Source organism: Homo sapiens, chromosome 9 (assembly GCF_000001405.40).
Source record: "Homo sapiens chromosome 9, GRCh38.p14 Primary Assembly".
Taxonomy (NCBI): Eukaryota; Metazoa; Chordata; class Mammalia; order Primates; family Hominidae; genus Homo; species Homo sapiens.
The window spans coordinates 28525817-28548518 of record NC_000009.12 but is presented as its reverse complement, the minus strand read 5'-3'; the positions used below and the strand labels follow the sequence as shown (position 1 = coordinate 28548518).

Below are 22702 nucleotides of genomic sequence, written 5' to 3'. Positions count from 1 at the left end.
TTGGCCAGGATGGCCTCAATCTCTTGCCCTCGTGAACCACCCGTCTCGGCCTCCCAAAGTACTGGGATTACAGGCATGAGCCACCACACCCGGCCCCAAATAATTCTTGAATGATAAATGTAATGTGGTGTTCAGGTATCAACTTTTGTTTTTATTTTTCATTAGTGTAACTACGTTTACTGTGTAGTAGGAAATGCCAGTTCAAAACCTTGTCTACTATGGGAATATCCCCTCAAACAGGTGTAAGCCCCAGTTGCTTCATTTATCCTACGTAACAGTCCCTTAGATGCATTTGGCTGATCAAAGAATGGACACCTAACTTTAATATAAAGTTGATATTTGAGTGATAAAAGGATTTGAACTTCTTGAAACTCTGGCAGGCTTATTACGGTTCCTTAAAGGAAAGTTTCCTTAACATCTCTAGGGAGGATCTGTGAGCTCTCCAGGTTCCTGCTTTTCCATAGCTTCCTTGGGTGGATTTTCACTGCATTCTGTTATATACTCTAGCTTCTTCTAATAAATTTTCTTTTGGGCATAAGGTAGCCAGAGTCTGATTTTGTTACTTGTAACCAAAAGTACCATAAAATACTAATATTGACTATTTTACTGAAATTTGTATAACAACTTAGAAACTTACCTATGCTCTTCCCCCTATTTTCTTCAAAGGCAATACAGATGAAGACATTGGTTTCAGCTTTGTATTCACCATTCACTCTGTATATGTTCAGCCTTTTGTCATTCTCAAGTTTACCTTCTTAATGGGCACTAAGCCCAGTTTCCTACTCCTTTCCTTTTTATTATGAGTAATATTCCATTTTCAAATCTTGAAACCAGATCCATTTGAACTTTTGTTAGCACTGTATTTCATTTCTTGTAAATCGTTTGCCTATTTAATGGTAGGCTTCTTAATTTCCATGTGTCATTTAAGGCAAATGAAAATAACATATGTTCCTTTCGAAAATAAAATGTTGCTCACCCTTTCTTAAAGAACTAAAGTTGTTTTATATGTAGTTTAGCTCTTAGAGCAGTAATTTAGTGTTTCTATTAAGAGCAAAGTTGCTATCTCTAGTTAATGGCAGTTTTTCCCCTGCTGTTGATGGAATTTTGATATTGAAATTTATATCAGAGAGATGCAAATGGAACATTTTAAAGGGTCTCTTCCCAAATTAAGTGTTTTCATTAAATCACATTACTAAGACTTCTTTACATATAAGGGTTTCTGTAAATGTATCTACTAAAACTTGTGAAAAAAATGAAAGGACGGTTATAGAAAAAGATGTATGCCTGCTTTGTACCCTTTTCACATAGTAGTAATACAGGGAGAATACTCGATTTCACAAATAAACTAGCTGGTAAACAACGTAACTTCAGATGCTGGCAAAAAGCAGTGGAATATTGATATAGAACAAATGGAGACATGTTTAGTGTCTCAGGATCACAATGCCCACCTTCCTTTTTCTAGTATTTCACTTGGAATTATTTGATGGATTCAATTTGTCCCACCAACTTTTCCCAGTCAATTTTTCCTGCAGTTCTGAAATAATTGATGGGAATTAGAGGGTAAGACTTTCAATGCAACTTAGGGGAAAGGTTAAAAGACTTTGAGAGTTCGGTCACAGAGATTTGTCCTCATTATCATTCTACTTCTCTAATTTAACTGATCTACTATTGGGGTTCAGAAAATGATACCCCAGAGTGTGGCATTTTGGAATGCTGAGTAGTTTGAACTGAAGGACATTGGAAGGGTCTCAGAAGGGTGTCAGAAACAGAGTCTCTTTCTGACATTCTCTTGCCCTTCTTTCTCCTGCTCCCTTTTCTCCCTCAAGGCAGGCCACAGAAACTAGAATTCCAGAACTACTTTCCCCAAAAGCCAGCCATAAAACCTAGAAATATTACTTTAACCTTTTTCCACCTTTCTGTGTAGGAGCTGGCTGTAATGAAATTGTTTGACCCAGCTTGTCTAATAATAGATCATAAGACCCTCATTTCAGAATGGGTCCTGCCCTATACTCAGGAGAAAAATACTACACAGAGAGTTTAAGAAGAATCTGAACAAACAAGCCTTGCTGAGTTCCCTCACTCAGTCTATTACCATTAGATCATTCCCTTTTTGTCCAATCACATTTTTGCATGGCTGTTTATCCTTCATCTAACCTAATTTGGTCTACATTGCTGAAGGCTCCCATGTCACATAGAACTGATTAAATATTTTTTTAATGCTCTTCTCTTATTAACCTGCCTTTTGCTATAGTAGTGTCAGCTATGATCCTTATGATGGGTGAGGAAAGCTGTCCTGTCTGTCTACCCCTACACTACCAAAACCTATTTATATTAAAAGAAAACTAATCGATCTAAAGGCCTTTTTTCTTTTTCACACCTCCCTTAATTTATCAGCATATTTTACTCTTGGTAAAGAGTACCACTGGTTCAACTTCTTTAGAGTCCACATATAAGTGAGATCATGAAGTATTTGTCTTTCTGTGCCTTATGAAGATAAAATTAGCTAATATGTGAAGAATACTTAGAGTAGTAGTGACATAGAATATAAAAGTGAGTATTTTCTACAGAAAACTGTATGGTATAATGTTGTGTGGATTCTTTCAGGAACCAGACAGATACAATTTAAAAGTTTACTCACCCACTTTCTACCTTATGACATTGAGGAAGTTATTTATCTTCAATAAATATTAGTGAACCAATCTGTAAAATGTAAAGGCTTTTCCAAAGGCACAATATACAGTAAGTATACCTAGAATACAATAGGGAAGTATTTGGCATATTTCTAAGTGGGTCCTTTCTTCATTCTAATAAAATACAAATACCCAGGCTAGCACCTAAGGACCACTAAAAGTTCCCCCCCTCTTTTTCCTCTCCTTTCACTTGTACTACCAAGTCTGCCCTCCCTATATATATGGAATAACTAAATACATACTTCTTTGATATGGTTAAGACCAGCCAGCCCCTGATTCTTTAATTGTTCATCTGTTTATTGTACCTTCCCATATATTATAGTGCCTCCATCCCAAGCCTAGGATGTTTTCCAGACTTATTTTTGCAGATCCCTTACCTTTGCTCTCTTTCATAAGTTGCAAATGGGTAACCATCCAGCAGATATATTTTAATTGGGCCAGTTCATATTTTAAAAATTGAACAGAAATGTCTTTAGGTAGAAATTCACAATGCTCTTTAGTAATCATTACTCCTTCACATATTTAGGTCTCCTGACTGGCCTCTAAAGTCTTTGGGTTTATCATGGAACTCTTCTTAATTAAAGCTAACATAAATGAATCACTACCTTGTCTGCCTCCCCTCAGTTCAGTTAAAATCCTTATCGGTCCCTTTATACAATATGATGTAAGGCAGGAAAAAGTGAGTTTGGGTGTAAGTTAGAAGTGATTTTAATCTCTGCAGCTAAAAACCCTTAGCAAGCCTCCCTTGCTCATCTGTAAAGTGCAGAGAATAATTCTCAAATGCAAATAATAATTGTTTTAGGGTTGCTTTGACAATGACTATAAAGAATATATATAACATAATTAACATAGTACCTCTTCCAAAATAAGTAATCTATAGATATTAACTCCTCTGAGTCCGTTTTCTAATTTGGCAATTAAAAGGATTGAGATTAGATGACCGTTTAAGTTCCCCCAATTCAAAAACAAGAGACCCATGGAATTCCTAATTTTATATTTTAGGTATTCTTTGTTTGTTGTGCTTTCTTATTATAATAATAGAATATAGTAGAGTATATAATATAATATATAACATAATATCATATAATAGTATTTTATTTTTATTTTTATATTCAGTGTACTCACATATATTGCCTTATGGCATTTTTAATATGATGCTAGTAATGCATTTTGCTATTCTTCTTGTTGTAACAGCTTCTGACTTTTTAACAGAGAGAAAGAAAGAGAAAGATACTAACATGGGTGGGAATGCCCACTCTGGACTCCATGGTAGGTCCTTTGCAAATGCAATTGTTTTTGTTGATTGAAGGCCTCATTGATCAACAGAAGTCATGAACATGAGTGAGTAATCAACAACAGAGAGGGTTCGGTGTACCTGGTATATCAGTCAGTGTGGGTTACAAAGGCCAGGGAAAAGATACTGTTAACCAGCACCAACTAAGTGAAAGTCAAGAGAGCTGTCACTGCATTACAGGTATGATTTCCAGATACAGTAGTTTTTAATTTATGAAGTCTCAGATTACAGAACTGGCAACTCTATTCCATAAAAATGAGGTCTTCAAAATTATGCCATTATAGTTTGAGCAATTATTATTTATTTTTGTTTTTTATTTGTATTTTTTTTTGAGATTGGTTTTTATTCCTGTCGCCCAGACTGGAGTGCAGTGGCTTGATTTTGGTTCACTGCAACCTCTGCCTTCCGGGTTCAAATGATACTTGTGCCTCAGCTTCCAGAGCAGCTGGGACTACAGGTAGACGCCAGCATGCCCAGCTAATTTTTGTATTTTTAGTAGACAGGGTTTTGCCATGTTGGCCAGGTTGGTCTCAAACTCCTGACCTCAAGTGATCCGCTTGCCTCGGCCTTCCAAAGTGCTGGTATTACAGGTGTGAGCCACTGTGTCCAGCCTAAAATACTTTTTGTTAGATTCATAATTGCTTGTTTTTATGATTTAACATCACAATCAAGATCTTATTAAACTTAAGTATGTCATCAGGTGCCTTCTAACCCCCTCCTTTCACATTCTAATACCTAATGTGTTTGAAATTAATGAAGCAACACCTACTTTTAGATTGATTAAAAGCAAGGAAATATGTTTTATTTAAAATGAATGTTCTACAATCTTTCAAGCATTCTTAAGTGTTTTGTGTTCAGGGTTATTTAAAAAGCATGTAGACCCACACTAAATATAGAAAAAGTAAGGAGATTTTTTTATACATTCATATACCTTTTTTTGTTAACACTTTTTTGTCACTGTTTCTGGGCTTAAACTCAAAATTCATAAAAATTCTGAGGCAGTCCAAATACGAGTGTTGCTCAGTCCCAAGTGGTCTCAGTTCACTAAATTATTCAGTGCTCTACATAAATGTGTCAAACTTATTCACAAGGCGTAAATGAAGAGATCTTGCGCTTGATAATCCAGAACTGTCTTTCTAATTATGAATAAAATATTTTAAAGCCATTGAAAAAGGGGTAACAAGTAGACCTTAAAACTTTCTCTTGGTTCCAGAGATATGCTATTCTACATTAAGGTATAAAGGAAATTTATGAGAATTTGGTTATAAGCTAAGTAAAACATAAGTTTAAATAGACATTTATTGGACTGATCAACTTGTAAGTGGGAAAGTCAGAGGCTTGTTAAATCTGCTAAAGACATTTGGGTGATTTTGAAGTCTCATATTCCCTACTGTCTTTATATGCAATTGCTATTTCCTGAAGTACTAAATACGTCATTTTGCCCATTATTTGTGTTTTAGAAATGCCTGCTCCCAGATCGTCTAGTGCATTTGGCAAAGGACATGTTTTACCATATTTGTCACTGAAGCCTGATCTCCTCTGGTGCTTTTCCTTGTTGTTTTCTGTGCCCTACACGTCGTGTTCTGCTCCTTTCTGCCCATTCCTAGACATCCTCTTCTTTCAGACCCTGAATTACGGGAGTGTGGCATGTAACAGAGTTTACTGAAGCTTTAGGCATGTTGTTCTCCAAGTGTGGTTCATGCACTGTTTCACTCACCTCAGCATAACCAGGATACTAACGTGGAATCCCTGAACACATCACTGCTCTCATGAATCACGATCCATGGAAATCACAACTAAACATCTGTATTTTCTACAAGTTCCTTAAATAATTCTTAATTACACCAAAGAGAACAACTCTTCTGGGTTAATCAGTGGTGATGGGGTAAAGGATCAGCTATATAAATTACCATTAAAAAAAAGAACTTAAATTTTCTTCTTAGGCCTCATTATTCTGGTATTTTCTGGCTATCCTTGTGTTGTATACTATACTACCAGTTTGAGTTTGAGTTCAATTCTTTTTTAATTGAATGGGAATGCCTTTAGGTAAGGGAAGAAATCCGCAATTCACTACAATAATCATTAATCTTCATGTATTTGGATCTCTTACCTGGCACAAGAGCCTCTCAGAGGGCCATCTTTCCTTAGGCCTCTCTGGTAGATAGGAAGATGTATTGCCCAGATTCTGACTCAAGAAGACCTTGATGTCCAGCTGCAGGGAGAGCTATCAGCAGATAGCTTGCAGCTGCCTGTTTTTTTTTCAGGATCTACCTTACCTATAGAGGACAGACTTGCTGTACCTCTTACCCATCCAGCACCTGATAAGTGAGTGGAAAAGGTATGGCCATTTCCATCCATTGCAAGACAACTTTGGAAGGTAATATCCACTGCAGAGTTCCCTAGCAGATGCTTTGTTGATTGGCATCACAATTTAACTTCTTTCCCTTCCTAATCCTGCTTCTTACCCTTCTTTTCACAGATATCAATGCCTAATCAGCATTTTGTACCCCAAACTCTGTTTTAGTGTGTGCTTCCAGGAATGCACCCATTCTATAATGGCTTCAGTCTGCAGTCATATTATGGAGGCAGCTTCTCTCCTCTGAAAACAGCCTGTCTCAGCTCTCCATGCCTCTCTTAAGTTACTAAGATATGTTTCCAATATATCTTACTTCAGAATACACCAAGTTTTTGAATTTTAACTCTAATCAAGATTCAGCTCTGAAACTGATTTACCATATTCAAGAACATAATAGGTGGGTTCTATTTTTCTAATAGCAAATTGGCCATCTGCTCCCTGTAATGATTTATGTTTTACCCAAGGAAATGCAGTCAATTTTGGTTTTAATAAGCATATTTGTCATTTTGTTTCAAGGAAGTGAGTTGCACATTTTTATTTCTTCACCAACTCTATTACTTGTTTTTGTTTGTTTGTTTACAATTAGTGGACATGGCTTCCCAGACCTCTTAATAGCTCTGAAACTAGAAAGCCACACATCGGAAGTTTTCTTCCTCATCTGGAAAGTTGACTCAATTATAAAAATTGCTCTTGTTTTTCTATTCATGTTTTGTTGAGAATCTATTTTTCTGACAATGAATGTTGTTCTTAAAAATTGTTTTCCTAATTACATCAGTCATCCTCATAAGGACCTGTTATTTTTACCAAAGCAAATAAACCTATGATAGAATATGTGTCCCTCCTCCAGGAGAGAAGTGTTTTTTTAAACCTACTGCCAAACCCATGGTACTCTCTGTCTTAAAAGATCACAGAGTTCATTTCAATATTTCAAGGTAAATTAACCACTGAACCTCATTGCAGGCATTCTGGATATTATCTTAAACATAGAATGAAATGGTTTTCTGTTGGGAAATACTGCATAGTTTGAGTTGTTTTTATCTTCCTACCACATTTCATCAATATCAGCAACTACATTTTTATTATTCACTCTTTCTCACTTTGCATTATCTATTGTTCCTTTCTGTTTTAAACTTCTTGAATGCTATCAGAAATGTGTTCAAATAATTTATTCTAACAAGTATATTGGAGTGGACCTGGGCTTTAGATAGGAAAATGAAACCATTGTAGAAATAAAAGACTTTGTTTTTAACTGAACTACAGAAGAAACAAAAGTTAATGTACACTCTGATCACAGTCCAGTAGGTTAAGTTGGTGTACACCTGGGCAAAGACTACAGCTTATGACATTGTAATGACAAAATACAAATAAACTAGAATACTTTGTGATGGCAACACACATCTAATCTTCTATAGTGTGGAATTAATGTAATCGTTAAACTCTGCACTTACTTGGTGGAGTGATGATCACGCCTATACATTTTTATATCTAAGTCCTAGTGACTAAGATCATTCCTTTATTAAACAAACACATTGAAAACTGTTATGAAGAGTGATAATAGTGATGGTATTATTTCTTTAGATTATTTGGAAGAAAAATGCAAAAGAGAACTGAAAAATGGGCCAAGTGTGGTGGTTCACACCTGTAATCCCAGCACTTTGGGAAGCTGAAACCGGTGGATACCTTGAAGTCAGGAATTCGAGCCCAGCCTAGCCAACATAATGAAACCCTGTCTCTACAAAAAAATACAAAAATTAGTCGGACGTGGTGGCACCTTCCTGTAGTCCCAGCTACTTGGGAGGCTGAGATGGGAGGAACGCCTGAGCCTGGAGAGGTTGAAGCTGCAGTGAGCTGTAATTGTGCCACTGTATTCCAGCCTGGGTAACAGAGAGAGAGAGAGAGAGGGAGAGAGAGAGAGAGAGACAGAAAGAGAGAGAGAGCCTGTCTCAAAGAAAAAAAAAATGAACTGAAAAATGGTATAAAGGGAGAGTTCACCATAGGTGTAGCCTTCCATGATGGTTATAGAAAAAGAAATAAGGTTAGAGTCCGAGTCCTGTGTTTCCAGTCTTATCAAACTGTTTTTTCAGAGTTGTGCGATGTCTTTTAGACTTCCTATCTCCCTCATCCCCACACCACTTAACCCTAGCTGTCTGTCTGGAAACCCTTTCCAAATTTTGCAGCATCACTAGAGAAACAGATAGGAAAGTAAATGACTCGGGCATCCTGTTGAAGTATATTCAGCTAGTGGAGCCTGTGGGATCTCATATTGTTTACCAGCTGCTCCTACACTCTCTGCTGAACATAGACTAATTTTACAGCTAGAGTTGAATTAGCAATTCACATTGCATGCTTACCAGATGCTACTGAAGAATGTGGAGGAGACAGCAACATGATCACACTGAAAACAGAATTTGAAGATCACCTTGTCCTTTTAGCATCAGGGACTCAGCTAAACAAGATGACTGATTTATCTATGCACCTCATGCCATTATTAAATAAGCAAAGATGAGAACACAAGCATGATATTACACAACAGTGTTATTGGTATGAGTCACAGTACCTGTAATTTAGCAGTCACATTGTCTAGCTCAAACAGGTAACACAGTCTGGCAGATGGTAGTGAGGATTTCATTACAAGGTTCACAATTTCTCACAAATTGTTTGCCTTGTTTTTTTTTTTATTTTGCTAAAATTTCATGTGTGTGTGTGCACACATACCTTGTAAACATAATGTGTGTTCATTTATATTTTGAAACCAAGTTGTTAATTATATATGAAGAGAATTGTATTAACTCACTGCTAATGTTTTCTTTTAGTACTTATTAAACATTCACTAAACAAACATTTCTGAATGCCTATTATGTGCCAGGTACTATTCTAGACATATAGGATATGTTGATTAATACCACAAATATCTACCATTCTGTAACTTACATATATTAAAAGACCCACTTTATAAAAATAATGTAGTTTACTTAAAATCTGTGTTGATATATTTTAATATGGCTGCATAACCTTTTTTACATTAGTATTATCAAATATATCTTCTTTTATATCTTTAATTTCAACCTTACTGAAAGAATATCTTTTATTTAGGTATGTATTTTATATACATATTACGAGTTTATTTGTTTTTAAGAAAAATATAATTGAAAAATCTCTGAGCTTAAACAGAAAATTTCCATCCACATACATTTTTGAGACTATTAATATATATGGATTTTTTTATTTTATTTTTTTCTATGCCATGCTTTCCCTTTGCTTTCTTTTAATTATTTTTCTCAATCTATTTTATTAGCTGCTGTGGTATGAATATGACTCCCCAAATTCATAGGTTGGAAACAAACCCCAAAACCCCAATGCAACAATGTTAGGAGGTGGGGACTTTCGGGAGGTGTTTCGGTCATGAGGACTCCACATTCACGAATGAATTAATGCTACTATAAAAGGGGCTTGTGGGAGTGGGTTCACTCTTTCTTGCACCTTCCAAATTCTGCCATGTGAGGCCACAGCAAGAAGGCCCTCAGCACATGCCAGAACCTTAAACTTGGACTTCGTAGCCTCTGGAACTGTGAGAAATAAATTTATGTTGTTTATAAATTACCCAGTTTATGGTATTTTGTAATAACAGAACAAGTGGACTAATACGTTAGTCAAGTTTCTTTTTTACTCCTTTATTCTATTAATTTAAAATTATGCATTCTATTTTTATACTTTGACAGTTTTGAATTTAATGATTTAATACTTGTGTTAACTATGTCTGTCACGACTGAATATCTCTATCAACCTCTTCCAAATACAAAAACTTTAATCTTTTAAATTCAATCACCAGTCTCATCTTCCATATCTATATTTTGAATTTATGACGTCAGAATTCATCATTATCAATACTTTTTATAGACAATACATTTACTAATTTATTTTATATTCCTATTTTATTTTATATTGTTTTATTTTTATTTTATACTCCACTATTTTCTTCCGAGTTAAATTATATTCCCTTGAAGTACTTCTATTGGTATTCTTTCAGTGAAATCTGTGAGTATAATGCCTTGGACAAAAATATCTATTTTGCCCTCACTCTTGATTAAAATCCCAACTAGGTATACAATTCTAAGTTGACAGATATTTTCTCTTAATACTTAAAATCTATTTTTTCACTGTCTTGTTAACTGTGGTTGATTCTAACACTACTGTCAATCCGGCAGTCATTATTTCTTAGAATTTTAGGGCAACTTTTTCTCTTGAATTTGGGAAGTTTGGATTATTTTTATTTCTTCTAAAAGAAGTGTTTAAGTTTTTTTTTTTTTTAATTTAACACTTTTGATACTGACACTTTTTCAGGACTCAATCTTTCTTCAATTATGGGTAATTTTCATTCACCACCACTTTGAATATTGCCTCTTTTCCCCTATTCTCTCTATTCTATTGTTATAGAATTGCTATGGTACACACATTATAAGTTCTCATCATACCTTTTATGTATTCACTTCTATTATCTTTACGTCTTTCTCTGAGTTTAATTCTGGATACTTTCCTGAGTTCTGTTTTTTAGTTTACTAAATTCTTCTTCAGCTCTCTTTCTAATTGGCCTTCCTTTTAAATTAGGTCTCTTTAAAACATTTTTTTTTTTCTATTTACTTTATCCAGCATTCCTCTCTGTTTATAAAAGGAAGTTGTTTTTAGCAACCTTGTTTACCACAGTCAAAGTCCATGACTATTTTTCTAAAAAGTTAAATTAGTTTTTGGAAAGCCTCAAAAGAGTCAAATAATTTGGTATTCTAAATATTAGCAAGAATCAATAGAGAAACCGTGCTAATGAAGGGGAAAGGGATGAGAGGAGATTTGTATATTTTGAAGGAGACTGTGTTAGTTTGCTAGGGCTGATGTATAAAAGTACCACAACTGCATGGTATCAACAATGGAAATATATTGTCTCTCAGTTCTGGAGGCAAGATGTCTGAGATCACATTGTTGGTCAAGTTGGTTCCTTCTGATGTTGAGGTCTGTTTGGGAGAGTATTTTTCATGCTTCTTTCGTACCTTCTGGTGGTTTGCTAGCAATCTTTGGAGTATATGGTCTTCTGTTGCATCATGTCAGTTTCCTGTTTAAACTTCACATGGTGTTATCCCTGTGTGCATGCCTATGTTTATTTTTTTTTAAATAAGGACACTAGTCACATTGAATTAGAGGCCCATTCTGTTCTAGTATGTCCTCATCTTAGTTGCATCTGCAACAATCCTATTTTCAAATAAGCTCGTATAATGTGGTGCTTAGGGTTAAGAATTCAGTACACAAATTTGAGGGGGTCACAAGTCAAACCATAACAGAGACACTATTGGTAGGAGCCAGCCTTGAGTTTAGAGTCTGAGGAATCTCAGAATTTTTCCCCAAAAGTTACATAGTATCAAATGTCTTGTCTTATAAGAGCCTTGTTATTCTGGTATATGGTCTGTTCAGATTCTGTCAAGTTGATTGCTCGTTGTTGATATCTTAACTAGATTTTGACAAAAAGTGTATATTTATCACAATTTTTCTCAGAATTAGAATACACTGAAAATATTCAACTGTTAAGGCAATGTCAATTATTCAGCGACCCATGCAATCATCCTCTGTCTGCCTCTGTTGCTTGTGCTTGATTTGCTTATTCAAGTTTCTCTCAAGCGACTGGCTATGGGTAAGGGGCTGTCTTCATTCATGCATTATTACTCAGCAGTAGTAGATGTACAATGGCAGCTATATTTTTGCAGTGATTTTACTTTTGCTTTTAACTTAACTGAAAAATGCTTGAATGAAGTTATGACAACCCAAAATATTCCCTTTAGGAAGCCAGTGTTTGTTTATGTAAGGGGTAAAAATCCCTAACTAGTAAATGTCTGTGAGATTTTGATTTATATGATTAAAAGAGTGAGTAAAAGAAATTATAGTTACAAAGTAAGAATTATGTAAAATTTGATATCTTATCTCTAAAACTTTCCCACCACACTTAAGCACAGAGTTAAAAATATTTTATTGGCAATGTGTATCTTCGGGTTCTGATGTCTATTATTTTAGAACAGTCTATTCTCTTTCTTGCAATTTCATTTTTAGTCAAGGATACCCCAAACCTGTGAATCTTAAGTGACCAAAAAAAATTAAATCATCTAATTATTAAAAACAAAAATAATAAAATAAAACTTCATCAAGTGTCTATCCAATGATGATCTCCTTTGTGCTGGAATCTCAGGTCCAGCTCTCTTGTCTGGCTTAGGCCAAAGGTCATGTCTCATCTCCAAGAGCATTACAAATCCAGGTGAAAAGTTTAAATCCTCCTCTGAAACGTCAAGATTATTATGATATCAGTAACCTTTCTTCTTCTGCATTTGTCTTCTCCTATTGTTCTATGCCTGCAGATGTCCACTTTCTTCTGTTAAGTGTAGCTGTCCAGTTTAGCTCCGTGTGTGTGTGTGTGTGTGCGTCCACACGTGTGTGTGTGTGTGCATGCACGTACTCATGTGGTGTACATATGTGTGTGTGTGCACATGGATGTGGTATTATTCAGTATTTCTCTGTGTTGTAGCAGAAAGGAAATCTATTTGGACAGTCTTAGCCTACCTTGCTGCTGAAGTCTCTGAACATTTTCTATATATGTGTATAAAATTAAAAAAAAATAGATACAGTTTATTTTTAAGAAAATCATGGCAATATATATCAGGCTTCCTTTACCTAGCATCCCCAGAATGGCTATGGGAATCTCACCCTCTTCTCCCAACTGCATACCATTTTGTTGTTTGTTTGCATTAGTGCATTTTTTTCTAGGTAAAGGATTGATGTCTTTTATCAGAATACTAATATAATTCATGATCCCTGCAAAAGTTTTAAAAACATTAATTATAATTTTGAAAGTGTATTTTTTCACCTTTGAATTAGATTATGTCCATTGACCTCTTAGCATTCTCGTAAGGCACACTTTTCAATGTGACCTAGTAATCCATTGTATAAATATGATAAAATTAAAATCAAAATTCCTGTATTGTTGAATTTTAGATTTTTCCTGTGTTTATTGTAATGAACAAAGCAATAAATATTTGTAAACATAAATGCATGAACCCATCCCTAATACTTTCCCTGTGGTAATTTCCTCGGAGAAGAATTCCGGGGTCAAATAGTAAAGTCATTGTTAAAGCTTTAAATACATAAAGCCAATTACTGTTACATTTATGCTTTTAAAAAGTGTGTGTATGTATATACATACACATGTATATATACAAACAAATTTCTTATTTTACTTGATTGATATACAATAATAGAGCAGCTCTGTTTTAATTTTTGACAAAACTCCAGAATAATGTGCCATGAATAATAAGTAAACCTTTAAATTTAGCTCCATGGATGATGCACTACAGCTGAGATTCAAGTGTAAACAGATATTTTTCTGATGTACAATGTTAATTCTTATTCCTTTGTTCTAAGTTTCTATATTTAATTCAGTAGAATAATTTTAATGGCTTTTCTTAGTTTGCTAATGTTTCAGTATCTAAGAGTTTTTAAGGGACCCAAACATTATAATAAGTAAGCAGCACTGAATTCCATAAAAATTGAGAAGAAATTAAGAAAGTTTTCTTAGAAAGAAAATGAGCTAAGAATGACAAGTTTTTGGAGTTTTAGTAGGAAATGAAAAAATAATCAAGGCAGAATTGCTATAGTACGATATCTTGGTTAGTTGTGGAATAAGAGATTTAAAAAACAAATCCCAGAGGATCCAAATGTACTCCTGGGAATGACCCCAATGTGTTTTCAGTAAAAACAGTGCATGCTCTATAGTATATAGTAATTGTATTTAGGTAGTCAACCATCTAAGGATCCAAAAGAACAGAATGAAGCCAGAAGTGATGGCACATGCCTGTAGTCTCAGCAATTCAGGATGCTGAGGTGGAAGGATCACTTCAGCCCAAGAGCTGGAGACTGCAGTGATCCATGATTGTGCTTCTGTACTCCAGCCTGGTGACAGGGCAAGACCCTGACTCTAAATAAATAAATAAATAAAGCAGAATGAGATTTCATGAAAACAAGGCAAGGTTTAATTGTGTACCCAGGTAAGGGGTATGCTTAACCAGTTCAATAAGAAGGAAATAAATTGCTAAACATATTTTCACTTATAACAATTGGTTCATACTTTTCTATTAAGTTGAAAAGGCCTAACAACAATAATCTATTAGATGTGTTTATCAATGTATAGGTCACAGAAGATCTTCAAGTGTATATAATTTAATTTGTAACCTAGCAGTCCAAAATAGATATTTAAACTTGAAATAAATAAATAATAATGTCATGAACAGAAAAATCACTACCACCTTTAAGCTAAGTACTTTCATCCATTTACCAAATACTTCATGAATGTCTTTTAATTCAGGTACTGTTCTGGGTGCTGGAAATATTGAAGTAAATATTAACCATCATTTACTAAACTCCCACTAGATTCAAGCCTTCTTTATGAACAATCTCTTATTCTCAACACAGCCTCTTCAAGGGCACAACCCTGTGATAAAGGAATATAGTCTGCAGTCAGTTTCAAACCTCAGCACTGACAGATAACATAGGCCACACCTATTGCGATTCATCAACCTAAGTTTGAGAATCTTGACTTCATCAGGACTTCAAAGCAGTGTTTATGTCCTGACTCCTTCCTTATAAGATAAACTAAAGAGGACTGTATTAGTCAGGGTTCTCTAGAGGGACAGAACTAACAGGATAGATGGATGTGTGCAGGGGAGATTTTTAAGGAGTGTTGACTCACAGGATCACAAGGTGAAGTCCCACAATAGGCCATCTGCAAGCTGAAGAATCAGGAAGCCCGTCTGAGTCCCCAAACTTCAAAAGTGGGAAGCGGACGGTGCAGCCTTCAGTCTGTGGTCAAAGGCCCAAAAGCCCCAGGCAAACTACTGGTGTAAAGTCCAAGAAGCCAAAAGCTGAAGATCTTGGAGTCTGATGTTCTAGGACAGGAAGCAACCAGCACCCGAGCAAGATGAAGGCCGGAAAACTCAGCAAGTCAGCCCCTTCCACCTTTTTCTGCTTGCCTTATTCTAGCCGTGCTGGCAGCTGATTAGATTGAGGGTGGGTCTGCCTCTCCCAGTCCACCTTTGGCAATCTCCTTTGGCAACACCCTCACAGACACACCCAGGAACAATACTTTGTATCCTTCAGTCCAATCAAGTTGACACTCGGTATTAACCATCACAAGGACCAAAGAGCCAAGTATGTCATCAACAGGGTGCAAAGGATTGCCTTGTGAAGACTGACAGAAGGCAAGCTGGATTCGGTCTATAAGAGGCAGTAAACGTAATTAGAAATGTATAATAGAAAAGAAAACCCAATTTACAGGAACTCTCAGGGTAGAGATACTTGTAGTCAGAAGGAGTACTTTGACACCTGGTCCCCAATCCTCCACAATCAGAAGCATACTAAGTAGCCTTTCAACGCGGGCTGGGCTGGTTAACTTTCCTTTCTCAGGATGAACTGCTTGGAAGTCTAGAGGAGAATCAGAGCACTGTCACTTGAGGTTTTCCTGCTTTTTCTTTCTCCTTGGAAAGCTTAACCTCCCCACCAAATGAATAAGTATATGATAAATACATAGAGAGTGTTAGCTTGAAAAAGTACCCTCAATCCCAGGGCAGGTACAAAGCCTTTGTTTTGTCTTGTTTGTTTCCCAGTGTAACAAATAAAAGTGACAAAGGCCTCCCTTCTTTTTCTGGAAAAAAAAAAGTCGGTTTAGAAAGAAAAATCTGAGGACAAATCATGTGAACCACAAAAAATATTAACAACAACAAAAAACAGTTTGAGGACTTTGAATTCTCACAACCTATTTTAGCTGAATATGAGAAAAGGACTAAAACAGGATATTCTCCTGATTTGCTGATATGAAACCTCTCTTTTTTCTTTCCTAGATTTATAGGAGAAATCTATTCAACTTGCTTTTTCTCAGCCCCCAAGCTGTCTGAAAGATATTATCCCCACTGTTCAGATGAGAAAATAGAGGCAGAAAATGTCTGTTAAAAATCATAATGGCTTCTGTTTGTATAAGAAATTAAAATGAGAGTCCTTGCTCTCAGTTCAGTTATCTTGTTACTTATACTTGCCTCATTTTTAAAAATCTGAATGACTCCTAATGGAACGTTACCGGTTTGTAAAATAAGGTAAAATGCTCCCATAACAGTTTAAAATCCATTTTATGCTTTTAGATATCAATAGCTACAATTTTAACATGCCATTTTATTTGTTCAGCTGTTAGCCCATAATATTTTCCAAATACAAATGAATAATTCAGTGCATCTGAAAGTTTTGCATTGGAAATAGTCCAGAATTTTCACACACAAAAGCTTTTTTTTTTCACCCTTGAGGATCTGAACTAAATTTCCCTTATACTGGCCCCCATTTCAAAAGCTGGCCTTTAGTAAATGGCAAAATCCGTGTTGTTTATTCAGAAATGTTAATACAAATAAAGTGAATACGTATTTGGAAATTAAATATATATTGTACTGGTATTTTCCTGACAATAATTTTTATATAAATATTTCTGATCTGATCTTTTATCAGTATTTTGACTGAGTCAAATAAAACTATAGATACTTAAATAAGATAAACCTTCAAAAATGCAAGTTTTCTTTATGTAAAATTCTAGTAGAGTACACACAAGTTACCTTCTGTCTACACTTCAAAACTATGAAGTCAGATGTTGCAAATTGTTAAACATAACTAGAAAAAAGGGATACTGGTGTTTGGAAAATTGAAAAAATGTAGACAAAGCATAATGGAATGTTATAGTGTTGAAACTTGGGGAGAAAAAGAGGACAATGTAGGAAAAATAACCAATGCCTTAATGCTCCCGAGATTGTGTGGGATGGAAGGGACAGAGGTTGCTGTGGCCCTGGGATACTTGTAAAAGAGGCTGTGTATATGTGCTTTGATAAAGCATTACTATGAGGGAAGCTGATCATATGTCATTTTGGATTTTATGAAGAAAGCATAAGAAATGTTTACTTGGAAATAATCTTTTTTCATTTTTAATTATTTCAGTTACTGTTAGGGTTGCCAGATAAAGTATAAGATGCCAGTCTTATTAATTTGGAATTTTATATATTATATATATATATATATTTATTTTTATATATGGCATACTTATATTAATTTTTTGGTTTATTTGAAATTTAAAATTAATTTGGCACTATATTTTTACTTACTAAATCTAGCAGTCCTAGTGACGGTGCATCATGGCAGGACTTGGCATATGACATTGTGAAGAACGGTATGAGACATTAGAAAAAAGACTAGGTGCAGAAAAAGATGTTTTTCAATATGTACTTAATATTCAATACAGTACACATATATAAGCAATTAAATTTTAGAGAAGCAGGATTCCTGAGATGTTTATCATGATTAGAAGATGGCAGAGGGAAATCAATAGTGAACATTTTAATATTACTGACACATAATTAGTGTTGTCTTTATGTAATATGTTATTGATTTTTATTTTAGTGATTGAAAACAATATTAAGCCCTATCATAGTTCTATTTCTTTAACCCATTTCTCCATAAAGGCTGAAATCCCTATAGGTTTCATTCTTTTTCACACAGTAGTTTCTTGGATGTGCACTTTGAAAGAAACAACTTTATACTGTTAATTAGGTCAACCTGTGCATGGGGCCGTTATGTTTACTCTGAGAGGAAATGGGCAAATTAGCATATTAATGAAGACATCACACACTTTTTTTTATTTTTGCTGGGGCAAAGGCATTCCAGTTTTAGATGGTTTTTATTTGAGCCAAACTGTATTGTACATGGTGTAAAATCTAGCAAGTGCAACTATTGCCTGAGGGATAATTTGCTCAAAATGGAATGGCAGATGGCACATGGTGATGGTGGTGATGTATTGTTATAATCTAAAATATTTTGCATTATCTTCGTTGTCATCATCATCACCATCATCGTGCTATTAAACTTGTCTGGAATTGTCTGATTAAGAGACATTGCTTACAATGATTTCTCATCTCATATGCCACCTTCACCTGCTTTTGCCAGACTGAATTCAGCTCATCTTTCAAAGGTTATTTTAGGTGCACCCTGCTCCAACCAGCTTTCACTCCCCCCAAAAAGCTCAAGAATCACTTCCTACTTCTACTTCCAACCTTAATCATAACACGATGAAGCTGAAAAATACTGTGTCAAGTTTTATCCCCTTATGTTAGAGAGGAAAATCTGCTTCCCAAAGAGGTTGGTGAATAAAGTCAAGATTGAATAACCAGTTAGATAAAAGAAGTAGGATTTTTCTTTTAATTTTGCTATTTAAATTTAGAGCTCTTTTCACACTTTCCTGCTGTTTCACTTCATCATATACTGTACTCATTTGCATTTATATTTATAGACTGGTAAACCTGGGAAAGAACTGGTATTCAACCTTAAACTATTCATTATGTTTTGTATTTATGTAACTTTTCCAACCTACCCGATCCACCTTTTTAAAGGCAGACATTGTGTTTAAAACTCCCAGGGCAGTAAACCCAGTAGCTAAAATAGAGATGGCAAAAAAAAAAAAAAAAAAAGTATTTGCAATTTGCAACTGGTCTTAATGGTTGCCTGAAGGAATAGTTTAGTTAGGGCTTTAAATCCTTGGGAAAGACTGCCATTTCCAATTAGGTCTATCTACCTTATCTCTGTACTGTGACATTTCACATTGTTTATTGATAACTAGGAATATATTAAGGGATAACAGATATAAATCCATTGAGTCATTAACGTGTGAAAAACAGTATTAGACACCTGACATACCATATTTAAAATGCAAAACCATTTAATCATAGGTGACTGAGCCTTAAATAGTTAAGTAATCTCTAGTATGGAGAAGAATATAAATTTAATCATAGTCTCACTAATGCTGAATTCCATTTCAGATAAATAAATGTTAATACACAATCAAAATGGGCTTGCATTCATTGTATGTTATATTTATTTCACTTTCCCATAACTCTGCCTGAGGTACTGGAAGGAGAATGGGTCATTACGATGTTTATGGTCTCTGTAGTTCCCAGATGGGTAGCAGATAGACTCAACCAGGAGTTCCTAAAGAAAGAATGGAACATGAAGGACTTTCTAAAACTATTCCTCTGCTTTAGAATTATTCTAACTAATACTCAGGTTAAGTCTAGGAAGAATACCAGGGAACTATTCCTGCTAATAATTTGAATAACACTTAATCCTTAGTGACTCAGATAAAGTAATGATATTGAATTTTAAAGTAGCTAGTGATTTATTTGAGAAAATAATGTTGATTTTTTATGACAAAACTAAAAATATCAAATTTTATTTGAATATATATACACAAACACATACATATATGTGTATATATATGTGGATATATACACATCAACAATACACACACACACACACACCTTTGCTGCAGAGAATAGTAGATGGTGTGTTGACATTATTTATCTTAGTATTTAGTAGATAGTAAGGACAAATTTTAGTATCTCTTGTAGAGTTATTTGTAATACAATTCAAAGACAATTATGTAGTACAACTCATGTACCTCCCTTTAATGCAAAGATATCCTGGAGTGTTTTTACATTCCCAATACAAAATGTAAGCAGTGTTCAATTAGAGAGCATGACTGAAAGGATAAAAGTTCAGATATGAATTAATTTATTGACTGCCATTTCAGATTCCAGCTGAGAAAGAATTATAAATTGGCCTGTGTAATAACTAAACCAGCATGTGTAGAATTTCATGTTGGTGCTGAGGGTTTTGTTATTGCTGTTTTCTCTTTCTGAAACTAGACCATAGACCTCCTTCAGTCAATCACAAATGAAAACAGCTCAGTTCTGAAAGATAGCTTCTGACAACTACCCCAGTTCTGAATTGTGCATTGCTTTATGCTGCAACTTATCATGTGGCAATTTTTAAATCAATTTGGCATTTAACAGAAAACCGAAGTAATTTTCTCAGAAGTTGAACAGAACTTGTCTCTGTTTTGTGAAAATTCTAGCATCAGCATCTTATCCTGAGTTAAGTAGGATAAGTAGAAGAGATGGTTGTATTCTTCCACAGCTATGAGATGTGTCCCTTGCTGACACATTGCATTGAGAAAAACATGACATCAGTGTGGAGAAGAAAATCATCCAAAAATAAATTGGATATTTTTGACATTATTTACTGATAATTAGTTTGGAACTAGTAAGTTGCAAATGACCCTAAGAGGAAGAATTCCTTTACTTAAACTCATTTTCAGTAAGGTTTAAAAGCCCTATATAAGATCTTTTGTTTGTGCAGACATCCTCAATTTAATCGACAACAGATTTAGTCAGCACTCATTCTGTTCCAGGTCAGGTGCAGACACTAGAGATATCGGAAAAAACAAGACACCAGTCCCTGCCCTCAAGGAGGTCATAATTTAAGAGAAAGAGTGACAAATAAGCAGATAAATACCTTTCCAGGTTGTGGTGCTCTGAGGTAAGCACACAGTGTTAAGGGAGCACAGAGCAGGGGTATGTCGTCCACACTGGGGCAGTGAGGGGAACACAGAAGACTTGGAGGAAGGTCTGCCTCAGGCTATAAGGCTACTTGGGTTGTTTTCCTTGACACTTAGAGAGACAGAGAATAGAAATGCCCTGGGTACCTGATGAAGATGGACCTTGGTGAAGAATGGTAAAAACAGCAGGAATGGGAGGCCATTTCAATGAGATTCTGCAGAAGCCACATATGATCAGAGAAGAAAGGCCCCTGAGAACATGGACTTTACCTATTTTCTTTACCTCTGCATCCCCTGAATCTCAAAGAATAGTTGGCACATAGTGGATAATGAATACGTTTTTACAGAATGAATAAACTAATGAGATGTTTATGACTACAGACAGAAACAGAAGAAAATGGGAGGTTATGGGGCAGTTTAAGGAGCATTAGACAAACAAGCAGATACCTAGAATCTGGTTTCAGCTCTGCATTTATTTAATTGTCATCAATTGTCCAGTGAACCAAGTTTGCTTGCCTGTACAGCGAGAAGATTATACTACATAATCTCCACGTTCTTTTGATAGCTGGAATGTATGAAATGACTCTACTTCTGTGTAAAAGAAAACAAACATGTTTCTAGAAAATTACTTTTAAGTCGTCTTCCAGAGTGATTTAGAGTCAATTAAAAATGTGACTTTTAATATAATAATGTAATATTTAATTCATAAAAAGATGGCTCATTCTTTAAACTACATTATAAAGGACACATATATTGATAGCTCCCAGTAGGTAAACATTCCCTATAATTTTTAGGGAAGCTGCTATAATCTCTTAGAATAATACATAATTCATTTATGAAATACAGTAATAAGGAAAGGAAAATCTATTACGTTGTAAAACCAAAATAAGCCTAGTTGGAAAGGCTGGGCAGGCCACATGGCATCCTGTAATGTGGCATTTAGCAAATTAAGGTACTTGAGCTTCCAGGGATATCTATACACAGTGGTGGGTTTCCATTTGGCCAAAAGGTCTGCCTTTAGAAACACAGGTATTTTCAGCCTCTATTACCTTAATATTGCAGGAAGGCCATAGAATTCATTTAGATTTACCCAAAATGTCAATTTTGATTATTGTGAACATTCGTGTACAAGTTTTTCAGGGTTGAATGTTTTCACTTATCTTGCTATCATAGGGTAGGTCTATGGTTAACATTTTGGAAAACTGAAAACCTAGTTTCAGAAGTGCCAGAAAGGCTAATACATTTCTAAGATTCTACAACAGAAAGATGGAAGCTAGTCTCTCTGAGTATCTTGTAGATGCTGCTTTGCTCTTTTATGGCATTGGATGTTGCTGTTGAGAAGCCTGATGCAAACCTGCTTTTCTATCTGTTGTAAAGCAGTTTATTTTTCTGGCTGAGCACTCAAAGGATTCTTTCTTTAAAGCATAATAATTTTATTAGGACGTGTCTTGATGTTCCAAGTAACATTCTTCCAGAATATGGTGTACCTTTCCAATAGCAATTTTTAGATTCCGTTTTTGTATTATTGATTTTGTTATTTTAATGTCCTTATTGAGGTGTAATTTCCATACAAGTTCACCAGTATAAGGTGGGTAACTCAATGGCTTTTTTTTTTTTTTTTTTTTTGAGACGGAGTCTCGCTCTGTCACCCAGGCTGGAGTGCAGTGGCGCAATCTCGGCTCACTGGAAGCTCTGCCTCCCGGGTTCATGCCATTCTTCTGCCTCAGTCTCCCGAGTAGCTGGGACTGCAAGCGCCCGCCACCACGCCCCGCTAATTTTTTTGTATTCTTAGTAGAGACGGGGTTTCACCGCGTTAGCCAGGATGGTCTCCATCTCCTGACCTCGTGATCCGCCCACCTTGGCCT

General features: G+C 35.3%; 1 protein-coding gene and 1 long non-coding RNA gene across 15 annotated transcripts in view; one reads left to right on the top strand and one right to left on the bottom strand.

Annotated features, from left to right (window-relative positions):
- LOC105376004 (uncharacterized) overlaps positions 1-8780 on the bottom strand; it is a 57191-nt gene extending 48411 nt beyond the window's left edge. Inside the window, exon 1 of the long non-coding RNA XR_001746641.2 lies at positions 8692-8780. This is a non-coding gene — a long non-coding RNA (uncharacterized LOC105376004). The remainder of the gene's footprint in view (positions 1-8691) is intronic.
- LINGO2 (leucine rich repeat and Ig domain containing 2) overlaps positions 1-22702 on the top strand; it is a 1275985-nt gene that overhangs the window by 665083 nt on the left and 588200 nt on the right. Inside the window, exon 5 of one of the 14 annotated variants that reach the window (XM_017014303.3) lies at positions 20691-20818. The exons of the other annotated variants lie outside the window; for them this stretch is intronic. The gene's annotated coding sequence lies outside the window, so the exon portion shown is untranslated. The remainder of the gene's footprint in view (positions 1-20690; positions 20819-22702) is intronic. 14 annotated transcript variants of the gene reach the window in all.